This window comes from Homo sapiens, chromosome 21 (assembly GCF_000001405.40).
Source record: "Homo sapiens chromosome 21, GRCh38.p14 Primary Assembly".
Taxonomy (NCBI): Eukaryota; Metazoa; Chordata; class Mammalia; order Primates; family Hominidae; genus Homo; species Homo sapiens.
The window spans coordinates 34703687-34716207 of NC_000021.9; the positions used below are offsets into that span (position 1 = coordinate 34703687).

The window sequence follows — 12521 nt, forward strand, 5'->3', positions numbered from 1 at the left end:
TGGTGACCTCGTGGTGCCATTTGGACCCATACGACTCGGACCTTGGTGGGGAGCCCTGAGACAGGGAGGTTCACAAGGCCAGGACCCAGCAGAATCCCCAGGTTCTCAGATGACGAGGCTGGTATCCCGAGAGCTTTTCGGAATGTGGTGTCAGAGGCTTTGGAGGCACCGTTTCTTTCTTTCGAGAATTACCTTTGGAGGAACTCAACAAAGTTGAATTCGAAAGGCAAACATGCAATTCTGGGTTATCCAAGCACCTAAGTCTTCGCTGGAAACAAGACACTCTACATTCTCAAACTGCTTACTTTGATTTGATCAGAAATGTATATGTACAAAAATTTCCTTCCTAAGCTGAGAATCCTGCTGAGAAATTTTAGCCCAGAGTGCACTTAGCCTGAGAGAGTTATCAGCACTGGGGGAAAATGAAGGCTGTGTATGATAAAATGTCCCAATTATGGCGACAGTGTCAGTTATTCCCTCGGAATATATGTCTTTATCCCATCATCTTGTCGGGCTAATGAATATGACCAAGGCCATCCTCTCCCATTATTGCTCAATAATGGGCAATGGAGATGGCGTATCTTCGCCTTTATTTTTGCTGGCACATCCAGGCCCTGAAGCACATTAAAGTAATAAAATTAGGCAGCAAGTCATCCCAGTCACTCCCACCATGTTCCCGTAACCCCCTCATTTACAACAGACTGAGACAGAAAGGAATTTTTTAGAGCAATTTGCGATGAGGCAATACTGGATATGTAAATTCTGTTTTATTGGCAGTCACTGCTGCTGGCTAATTCTAAATGCCTAACAGCCTTTGGTTCACTAGCCATGCTGGGTCGGGACACAGTTTGGTTTTAAGGCCACAAAGGGGGAAATGTATAATTGCAACTTTCTTCCGTGTCTTAAGCTGTGGCCGAACAGATATTGTCCCATCCTGTTTCTGGCCAGATGTTCCATTCCAGTGGCAGATCCGAGAAGGAGCCTGTTAAGAAGTTTAAGTTTTTACTGAGTTGGCTGACTAAGGCAGTTTTTATTTTTTGAAAAATTTATTGCTCCTACCGGCTTTATTCCCCCTAAAGAAGTAGCTGCCAGAGTTCAGGAAATAGCAAGAAAAACAATTTCAAGGGAAATCACTAACTTGAGTTTGAGACCAGAGACCGAGCAGGCGGAGAGCCCCGTGCAATATAATTATTCTGCAGATGCCACGGTGGAAAGAGGCCACTGCAAGAAGGGTCCATTCCAGAGGCAGAGCTTTGTCTAGGGGTGCTTGAACAAGATGCCCCTCACTGGAACGGGACACACACACTCAGGAGAGATTTGCCACATACACAGTGAGTTATAAGAGGGTTCCAAAAGTTAGAGAGACGGGAGAAAAAACGAACACAGTTGCCCCACTTCGCAGAACTTATTTTAGACTTTGCTGTGCTTCATGTAACTACTATAAAAATGAGAGGTTTACAAGCTGCAGAGCAAGTCGGGACTGGCCAAAACATGCGTCCTTGCACTTTCTTCTCCCCGCTCCGCCTTTGCTTGGCTTGACTGCTCAAACCTGCAGTAGTTAAGAAAGTTCCACGGTTTAAGAGGGTTCCCAGGTCATCAGCCACTGGGAGTTTTCTCTGACTCAGCTCTGCACTTCCACTTGCTCCAGAACAGGGAGTGAGGAGGAGATGGGGGTGGCCTTCGAAATGGCCATAGGGTGGTGGGACCCCAAGGTGGGGAACAGCCTCAGGTGGACGAGGGGATGCTTTTCAGGGCCCATCTGCCGGGACTTGTTGTGACCACTTGGATGTATGTGTCATAACTGTCCACCTTCCACCCTTCAGGCTCCCAGCAACTTCAAGATACCTGGAGAGATTCTCAGACCCTCCCCTCTAATAGGCAGAGAGGAAATTAATGCTGGCGTGGGGAGGGGAGAGTGGGAGAGGATGTGACGCACAGGCCCAGAGCTTAGGGACTCTGAATTCAGTAATCTGGGTCTATTGGTGCCCCTTCATATGCAGTAAGGTCACCTATTAACTCTGTGTTTATGGAGCTGTATTTATCACCTGGAAAGTGATATCATCCTGCAAGTCTTCTTATCAATGGATCATCCAATTGGGGGTTCACATTGTTTTGTCTTACACATTGACAATAATGCTGGTAGCATCAGCCTTATCTCTTGCCCGAGATTGGACTAAGGCTGAACTTCTCACAGCATGGTTTCTGACCACTGGCATTGTATCACTTTGGAGGAACATGTTAAAAATTCACATTCCTAGGCCCCATGCAGCAGGACCCACTGAATCAAACTCTGTATATTTTTTAAATTACTATTTTAACATTCTTTTCTTTTGTATTTAGGTAAAACTTACTGCATTAGGCTGTTCTCGCATTGCTATAAAGAAATACCTGAGAGTGGGTAATTTATAAAGAAAAGAGGCTGAATTGGCTCAAATGCTGCAGGCTTTGTAGGAAGCATGGTGCTGGCATCTGCTCAGCTTCTGGGGCAGCCTCACAAAGCTCACAGTCGTGGAGGAGGGCAAAGGGGGAGCAGGCACGTCACATGGCCAGAGCAGGAGCAAGAGAGAGGGAAGTGCCACGTACTTTTCAACAGCTCAATCTTGTCAATCTTGCAAGAACTCACTGACTATCGAAAGGGCAGCAGCAAGGGGATGGTTCTAAACCATTCATGAGAAATCCACCCCCCGACCCAATCACTTCCCGTCAGGCCCTGCCTCCAATACTGGGGATTACAATTCAACATGAGATTGGGGCTGGGACAAATATACAAACCATATCACTTATATTCAGTAAAGTACCCAAACCTTAAGACTTTTATCACTCACATACACCCGTGTAGCCACCGTGCAGATCAAGACATAGAACAACATTGCCACCACCCAGAAGCCTTCCTTTTGTCCTTCTGAGACAATAGTATCTTCCAGGGACATCTGCTGTTGACTTCCACCATCATAGACAAGTTTGCCCTCTACCTACCCTGAATCATGCAGGAAGCTTTGAGTCTGGTGTCTTTCTCTCAACATTGTGTGTGTGAGATGCACCCACACTGTTGCTTGTATAATAGCTAATTCTTTTCCATTGTGGTGTAGTATCTCAAGGCATGGAAATACTACACTGACACAAGTATTCTACTCTTGATAGTATCTGGGTTGTTTCCAGGTTTTAGCTATTATACCAAAGCTGCTAAGAATAGTTGATCCTTGGAGAGGATCGAGAGATAGAGGGAAGGAAAGGGCGTGTCTTTCTTTTTCACATTGGTGATAAAGGGAGTTCCCATTGCTGCTCCTTCCATCAGTGAGCTGCTGCTCAGAGGCCCAGTGTGGCAGGCAGTGGTGAGGTGGTGGGGAAGGAAGAAAGAAAATGCTCAGTGCAGTGCATACATGTGCATGTGCGTGCGTGTGTGGTGTTCTCTCCCCTAACCCCTACATCCACCGCCAACTCCACATTGAGGCTGGTAAAATGGCCTCAGGAGGATATTCGCAGCATCCTGACCGTTCTTATCAACCTGCAATGATTTTGCATGTGCATGTTGTGGTGTTGGCACTTATAATTGTGAGACTGGCTCAGATAGAAATCTCCTTCTCCACTTGTAGGCTGGTTATGATGGTGAGAGTATCGGAAATTGCCCGTTTTCTCAGCGTCTCTTTATGATTCTCTGGCTGAAAGGCGTTATATTTAATGTGACCACAGTGGACCTGAAAAGGTAAGACAAGGCGTCTGCCTTACTGAAATAACTGTACCTAGTTCTCTGCACACACACACACACACACACACACACACACACCTGAGGCCAACGGTGCTGCATGGGCACGTCCATCCTCAGTCGGAGTCTGAACTGAAGCCCACATGTGGGCCAAGCAGTCATGACAGGGTCGGCTGGGCTGGAGTCAGGAAGGAGGAGGAGTTGGGGGTGCCGTGAAGAACCTGCTTCTCCAGTTGCTGGTCAGCTGTGACTCTCCCAAGCCTGTCTGAGCACCATCCCTGGCTGATAACACTGGGGAGAGTTAACTTTTTCACCTCTGTTTGTTGATATGCCCCTTTGTGCTCCGTATTCACAAAGGGGCACCTCAACAAGCCCATCATTTGTTAATGAATGCCTTTACTTTCATCGCCAGCAAGACATTTTCATAAACCCACCATCTACTTTGCAGTTCTCAAGAGTTGCTTCTCTTAAACTGGTGAGGACGCGGCTAAGCCCTGGAAATGAGTCCAGATTCTCACGGTGGCCCATAAACACTGCTGTTTCCTCCCACCTAGGAAACCCGCAGACCTGCAGAACCTGGCTCCCGGAACAAACCCTCCTTTCATGACTTTTGATGGTGAAGTCAAGACGGATGTGAATAAGATCGAGGAGTTCTTAGAGGAGAAATTAGCTCCCCCGAGGTAGGCCTCAGAAAACCAGTGTTCATAACTTGATTGTCACTTTCCCCCACTAGTAGTCAGTTCTAAAGCTCTGGGCAGTGTGTGTGTGTGTGGTTTTCTGCAGCCCACGGTGCTCACTTCCTTAATCATAACCCTGGTGTAACCAGATTAGAGTTCGGGGACCTGGGTTTCATTGTGCTGCACCTGCAGCTTGGCAATCACAGTTTGATGGCAGGAAGTGGGAGGAGATGGGTCCAGGGTGGGTGGTTGGCTGTATCCTAGACACCCTGCTGGAAGCTATGGAGTATGTGTTAGGAAGAAGTATCATGGATTTTTGGACCTCGGGGGAGCTATTTCTACTCCATCCCCTTCGTTTTACTAGGGAAGCACCTGAGACCAGCAAGGCCAGGTGGGGTCCTGTGTCCCAGAACTGGCCACTGCCAGGAAACAGCAACAATCCAAACCTCTCCGTCCAGTGCCATTCTCCTAGATGTTGTTACTTCCCAACCTTTGAGAGGAAAAGGGTCAGGAAAACGTTGAAGGAAAGCTTTTCATTTTTATGCCCAGAGAAAGCTGTTTTTCTCCATTGTATAGTATTATCTTCACTAAAACATCACTTGTCTGTGATCCTCCAATTTTGAACTTTTCAAGGTATCCCAAGCTGGGGACCCAACATCCCGAATCTAATTCCGCAGGAAATGACGTGTTTGCCAAATTCTCAGCGTTTATAAAAAACACGAAGAAGGATGCAAATGAGAGTGAGTACCTCCCATCCTCCTGTTTTGTTTCAACACAGACTTGAGTCTTAGCATGGCGGCCCATACGCTCCTGGGGTATTCCCATCTATTTCCCAGTGGGTAGAGAAGTGAGTCTGGAGCTACAGAAAAAGTGCCTCCAACTTTGAATCTGCACGTGGGCTTCAAGAGATGAATGCTTCTTTTGAGGCTGGGAACTCAGAAAACAACATTTTTAGGGAAAATAGTCATCACCCAGGTGTTCCGGACACACCATGGGAATCATGTTCAATGATGTTTCTGCCAGTCCACGTCTCCCCACAGGCTTTCCATAAGTATTTTTGAATAAATAAATCACTTCTAGAAGGAGCAATATTGTGTAGACAGCAGTGTGATTTTCCAGGGAGGAGTGAGCCCTTTATTCAGATATTCTACATCCACCTGCTGCCTTCCCAGCACCCATTGCTTGCTGGCCACATCTCAGCGAGGAAGGGAAGCAAACTCCATCACAGCTGGTGAAAAGTGACATGCACTTGCAAACCTCTCTTTGTGATTTCTTGCCCTTCTGTTTTAGTTCATGAAAAGAACCTGCTGAAGGCCCTGAGGAAGCTGGATAATTACTTAAATAGCCCTCTGCCTGATGAAATAGATGCCTACAGCACCGAGGATGTCACTGTTTCTGGAAGGAAGTTTCTGGATGGGGACGAGCTGACGCTGGCTGACTGCAACCTCTTACCCAAGCTCCATATTATTAAGGTTCATCTTCCCTCCCGACACGTGTGCCGAGTACACGAACGGGGCTTTGTTTTATTTTGTTTTTACTTGTGTTTGGGCCAGACATTTAAACAGTCTGAAATGTGGAGACTTGGATTAAAAACACTAGTTCTGTTCGGGGCAGCCAAGCCCCAGCTTTCACACACACAGAAGATGGGCTTCGGGTGTTCTCAGAAAGTGCCTGGGAACATGGCCCCACCTTCTGCTTCTCTCTCAGCCTTACTCACACAGCCTAAAGACAGGTTATGTGAAAGCAGCCTGAGGAATTTCGTAGATTATACCTGGTGTTAGCAATTGAGAATTAGAGATGAGGCTCGTAGAATCTGGGGCTATTCAAATGTGAACGCAGTCTACTGTTGGTGATTGTAGGGCTCCACATGGCCCCTTCTAGGGATGACAGAGGAGTGTTCTATTAGCTTTTAACAGTGACCCTTGGCCAGGTGCAGTGGCTCATGCCTGTAATCCCAGTGATTTGGGAGGCTGAGGTGGGAGGATTGCTTGAGGCCAGGAGTTCAAGACCAGCCAGGGCAACATAGCGAGACCCCATCTATACAAAAAATAAAAAAAAAAAATTAGCTGGGCATGGTGGTGTGTGCCTGTAGTCCCAGCCACATGGGAGGCTGAAGCTGGAGGATCACTTGAGCCCAGGAACCTGAGGCTGCAGCAAGTTAAGGAGGTGGCACTGCACTCTGGCCTGGGTGACAGAGTGAGACCCCATCTCTAAAAACAATTAGGTTATTAATTATTTATTTATTTTAAAAAAACATTGACCCTCAACATCCAGGAAGCAGCTGGCAGCTTTTGGCTGAGTCTCTGCCATATTTGTTGCCCTGCCTTCCCATATAGTAGCTGAACATGATTTAAGAGCCATGAGTCATGTATTATTAGGGCTTAAAGACCTGCCAGACCCGTGGTTCTCCAATGTTAGTAGGCATACAAACTGTCTGGGGAGCTTTTTAGAAATGTGAGTCCCCGGGCCAGGCATGGCGGCTCACGCCTGTAATCCCAGCACTTTGGGAGGCCAAGGCGGGCAGGTCACGAAGTCAGGAGATCGAGACCATCCTGGCTAACATGGTGAAACTCCCTATCTACTAAAAATACAAAAAATTAGCCAGGTGTGGTGGCGGGCACCTGTACTCCCAGCTACCTGGGGGGCTGAGGCAGGAGAATCGCTTGAACCCGGGAGGCAGACATTGCAGTGAGCCAAGATCACACCACTGAACTCCAGCTTGGGTGACAGAGCAAGACTCCGTCTCAGAAAAAAAACAAAAAACAAACAAACAAAAACCCCAAAAAAACAAGAAATGTAAGTCCCCGACCCACTGCCTGCGCTAGTAAATCGGAGCTTCCAAGAGTGACCCCTGGAGCTCCAAGCGGATATCCCCACACTCGGACTCTGTAGCTGTTGCTGTCTCTCAGCACAGCAGCGCTCCCAGCCGCTCTATCACTTATAGAAGTTGAATGTGATTGCTGTGATGAGATTGCTATGTCCTTGGCCCTTAGCAGCTCCAGATACCTCAGGAAGAAGCCCATGCCTGGCTCTGGGGCATTTTTATGATTAAAATCCTGCCAGGGCCAGAGCCAGGTGGTTGGTATAAGTGTAGGGGAGATGGGAGAAACACCAGGAAAAATAAGTCATGGACTGTTTGTTCTAATAACACATTTAGTTAGCATTTAGAAATTACAAGGTAGCGGCCAGGCGCAGTGGCTCATGCCTGTAATCCCAGCACTTTGGGAGGCCAAGATGGGCAGATCACTTGAGGCCAGGAGTTTGAGACCAGCCTGGCCAACATGGAGAAACCCTATCTCTACAAAAAATAAAAAAATTAGCTAGGTGTGGTGGTGTGCGCCTGTAGTCCCATGCATTTGGGAGGCTGAGGCACGAGAATCATTTGAACCCAGGAGGCGGAGGTTGCAGTGAGCACTCACTCCAGCCTGGGCAACAGAGCAAGACTCTGTCAAATAAACAAACAAATAAATAAATAAATAAATAAATAAATAAATAAATAAATAAATTACATGTTAGCTTCACACAGTCTATGGTGCTGAGGCTCCTGTGGGCTCCCGGCCACCCCTGGTGACTCTGCTTCATTCTTTTGCCTTTGTCTTCCTGCATTTCTTCTTTCTATCCTCTTCCCCTCTCGGTCCTGGCCCTGTTGCTCCCTTCTTCTCCCTTCCTTTTTGTGCGTGAGGATACTGACTTGAAATGCAGGCCTTCAGGAGGTTGCTGATCCCTTGGGCAGATGTCTTTTCAATAGCTTTGCCAGTCCACCAATATCCAAAATTTAATGAAAGCATCTCCACCCCTCAAAACCTGCTAAATTTGGGAGCTGCCTTCTAACAGGATATTTATGTAGCTGTGTTTTGATTGAGTCCCTTTTGGTAAATGCTTTTTAGTCCCTACTGTGACCAGCGTAGCATTGCAGAAACACATGAAACTTGAAGAAGAGGGGGAGAAATATCCCAGCCACAGAGCATTCATGGCCCCTTGTTTAGCTCCCATGAGAAAAGACGATTTTAAATTTCAGTAGAAAGGGTAAGCTTTAGAGTGAGATTGCAGTTCATGGCTCCACTATAAGACCCAGAAGAAAAATCTGCAAGGCCATTTAGCACTCACAATACCCAACAGCTTAATGATCTTCCAGGATGGAGTACTTCTGAAAGGAAATGAGAATCAATCTAAGGGAATTATGGTAAAAGATGAGAGTGTGAAGGGATTTATAATTTATTCCCCTGCCAGAAACCCAGCAAAAACAATATCAAAATAGGGTATTAGCTTCATCTTTTTTGTAAAACTACAAAGGGATGACAGATCATCGACTTAAAGAGTAGGAAGCTTCTTTCAGTGGGAGGAGCCACAGAACCATTACATGTTTCTCCGTATCTTTAGCAAAGTTCAGATTTCTCAAAAGGTAAAGAACACAGTCCTGAAATACCCAACTCAAACTTCTTTGCTTGAGGCCTAGAGCATGAGATGGGCCAGGAGGGAATCACAGAACTTCCCTATAGAGACCCTTGTTGAGCTGAGATCTCTAGGGAGGCAGAATTGAAGGAGGAGCCACACAGAGACGCCATCTTTCTAGGCTGTGACCCAGCACCTAATCCAGAGGAACAGTCTGGAGGGGAGGTAAAGAGGGAGGAAAGGAGGGAAGTGGCATTTTGCATTGTGACTGCTGAGCAGAGAAAAGAATCTAGGCCCCAGCCAGTCAAGAGAGAGACTAGAATTGCCCAAACTTCGTTTCTAGCCACAGTGGCCTTCTGCCTAATCTGTGAGCCTCAGAGTGGAGGATGCCCTAACCCTAACCCTAACCCTAACCCTAACCCTAACCCTAACCGTAACTCTAACCCTAACCCCAGCCCTAACCCCAACTCTAATGTGTCTCTCTGGGGCAGAGCAGTGGTTGGCGACAAGGTGCTTGGGAGCAAATATTCCAGTTGGTTGGCCACCTGCCCTGTCTCACTCCCTTTGCCCTCCCCACTGCTTTTAAGCAAATGATAGGTCCAGTAGATCTGCCTCATTCAAAGAAGGCCAATACCAGAGAGAATGCCAGTGAGACCTTGGGGTAGACAGAGTTGATTGAAAAGAAGGGGGTGGGGGGAGGAATGATAAAGACAAGAAACAAAAACAGAAAAAGACAGATGGGAAATACATATATGATCAAGAACTGCTCCTCCAGCACATTAAAGAACGTTTCTTACAGAAATTTTTCTACAGCCTCAAAGAAATGAAAGAGAATATGGGCTTTTTGAGAAAAATCTCAAAGACAAGACACAAGATGTTCAAAAATATATTATCACAAAGGGGATGGAAATCAGGCTGGAAGAGCTCAAGAAGAAAAGTAAAGACAAATAAAAGAACTGCAGAAATAAAAGTCCTGTTAGAAGCAGTAAGACACAGACGAAGACATTGCTGAAATTGATTTCCTCTGACATTCGCACACATCTTATAGAGTTGGTTTTGGCATGTGGAATGTGTTTGTAGCCGTGCTGTCAGTGATTTGGAAGACAAGCCTGAGAAAAATCATCTAAAATCAAGTGGGGAAGAATAAAAAAGGTGATTAGAGAGATCCCAGATATACATGATCAGGAACAAGAGAACAGAAAAGGAAAAGGAAAGGAAAAAAAAATAAAAGAAAACGAGAGAATGTTCAATGGGGAAATTACTTTGAACTAAAGGATGACCTGAATCTTCAGTTTAAATGACATGCCATGTTAAACATTGCCCCAGAAAGATCAACACACTGAGACATACTTGATACATTACTGAGCTTTGAGAATAAAAAACAACCCTTTTTGGCACCTAGACAATAATAATACTGTAATACCAACAACAGTAATAATAATAAAAAGAATGAAATAGAGTAAAGCCAGTGAAACAGGGAAGAAATTCAGACTGGCCCCAGATGTCTTCATGAACCCATTAAAAATCAGAAAATTGTGGTTTAACATCTACAGAGAATTAAAGAAAATGATGTATGAGGTAAGAATTTTATATCTAGGCAATTACCGTTTTGACCTAGACCTCTGGTCTCTTTTTTAAAAAACATAAAATTGTTCTATGATGAAATAACAAAATCATAATCAAAGTAAGAATCCAGAAACAGAGAAGGTGTGTGAAATAAAAGAACAGGCCCTAAACAGAGAACCCCTTTAAATCTGAAACTAGTCCTAAGACCAAACAGCAGTGGGAATTATACGGACAGAATAGAGTCAGAATATAATAAACTATGTCATTACCACCATTGGAAGGAGGATAATACAGAAGAAATGGAAAGAAGCACAGATACATAAATTCCCTCATTTGTCATCATCAGGAGTTAACAGGCAGCATCTAAAATTAGTAAATCAAGGCCGGGTGCAGTGGCTCACACCTGTAATTCCAGAACTTTGGGTGGCTGAGGCGGGTGGATCACTTGAGGCCAGGAGTTCGAGATCAGCCTGGGCAAAATGGTGAAACCCCGTCTCTACTAAAAAGACAAAAATTAGCTAGGTATGGTGGTGCACACCTGTAATCCCAGCTACTCGGGAGGCTGAGGGAGGAAAATCGCTTGAACCTGGGAGGTGGAGGTTGCAGTGAGCCGAGATCCTCCACTGTACTCCAGCCTGGGTGACAGAGCGAGACTGTCTCAAAAAAACAAAAAAAAAAAAAAAAAACTTGATAAATCAAGAAATAGAGAATTCCTATATATTTAAATTTATGTAGGAAACCACTGGAGAATTAACATGACCATAAACCTTTTAAATGACCAGAAAGAGGGACACACACATGCATACAGAAGAAAGAAAACCAAGTTCAGTGTCACGTTCATAGGCATGGCCTTAAACAATGTACTCAGGAATGTTAAAATAAAAAGATGGGCAAAGAAAAACCAGGTACATACAAACAAAAGTAAAACGGACTTCTTAACATGAGCATCAAGAAGTTGGCATTCAAGGAAGAGGTGTCAAACAATTTAGGAGGCTCTCTGAAAATTATATGGTCCTTCTTTGCTGTCACATTGCATCAATGACTGCTGGCCTCCAAAGTCTGCGCAGTAAGCCCCAAAGATCTTCTCATTAACCCCATGCCTGCATCATGCAGACATCCTGGGAACCAGTGGGACAGGAGGCAGCAAAGCCCAACTGGCCTTTATGGCTCTGGGTCTCCACTTCAGGTTGAATTGTGCCCTCCTCCCAATTCCTGTGTTGAGATCCTAACCCCCAGTAGCTCAGAATGTGACCTTATTTAAAAATAGGATCTTTGCAGATGTAATTAGTTAAAATAAAGTCATCGTGGAGTGAGATGGACCTAATCCAGGATGGCCAGTATCGTTGCAAACTGGGGAAATTTGGAAAGAGAGACACAGGGAGAAGGCTCTGTGAAGATGGAGTTATGCTTGCACAGCCAAGGCACTGCCAGAAGTGGAGAGAGAGCCTTCCCTAATGCCTTCAGAGGATCCATGACCCTGCTGATACCCTGATCTTGGACTTCTGGCCCCCAGAACTAGGAATCAGTAAACTTCTGTTGTTCTAAGCCTCCCAGCATGTGTTACTTTATTATGGCAACCCTAGCAAACTGGTACAGTCCCCAGTGTTCTGCACATCTTTGTGACTAATTCCCCAACTGTACCCCTCTTGCTAGAGGAAGTATCTCACACTGCTGTGTTTCTCTTGGTGCTGTCTCTCGACTGCTTCTTCCTTACACCCACCATCCCCATGAGGGTAGGGATTTGCATCTGCTTTGTTCATGAATCTCTCCTCCGCACAGGCGGGCCCCACGATCAGACGATGCTCTTAGTGGCAGCATGATGGCATTCAGGAGGATTAACATGCACAGATGTTTGGGACTGGAGAAGTGAGGTTCAGCAAGTAGGAAGAAGAGAGGGCACCATTTAAACAGCAGATCCACCATGCGTCTTTATTCACATAGCACCAAGTAACACAGTAGCACAACATATGGAAAGAAAGTAACAGGCAACACAAAGAGAAATCCACCAGAGTCCAGAGCATACTCGTGCCAGCGGATTCCAAGACCCATCTGTGACAAACTGGTGGGCAGAACTATGTGCAGTCACTGTAGTGAGTACAGGAACTTCATAGCCCTCCTCACACCCAAGATGGCCCTATGCAAGTCAAGATGCCGTGGTGGGTAGCCCGGATGACTGTGGGATG

At 45.8% G+C, this 12521-nt stretch overlaps 1 protein-coding gene across 2 annotated transcripts in view; it reads left to right on the plus strand.

Moving 5' to 3' along the window:
• Positions 1-12521, plus strand: part of CLIC6 (chloride intracellular channel 6) — a 49230-nt gene that overhangs the window by 34693 nt on the left and 2016 nt on the right. The window contains exons 2-6 of one of the 2 annotated variants that reach the window (NM_001317009.2): positions 2341-2394; positions 3594-3703; positions 4258-4383; positions 5014-5120; positions 5671-5852. In NM_001317009.2, coding sequence (NP_001303938.1) covers positions 2341-2394; positions 3594-3703; positions 4258-4383; positions 5014-5120; positions 5671-5852 — 579 coding nt within the window. The remainder of the gene's footprint in view (positions 1-2340; positions 2395-3593; positions 3704-4257; positions 4384-5013; positions 5121-5670; positions 5853-12521) is intronic. The other variant, NM_053277.3, reaches the window with a different exon arrangement.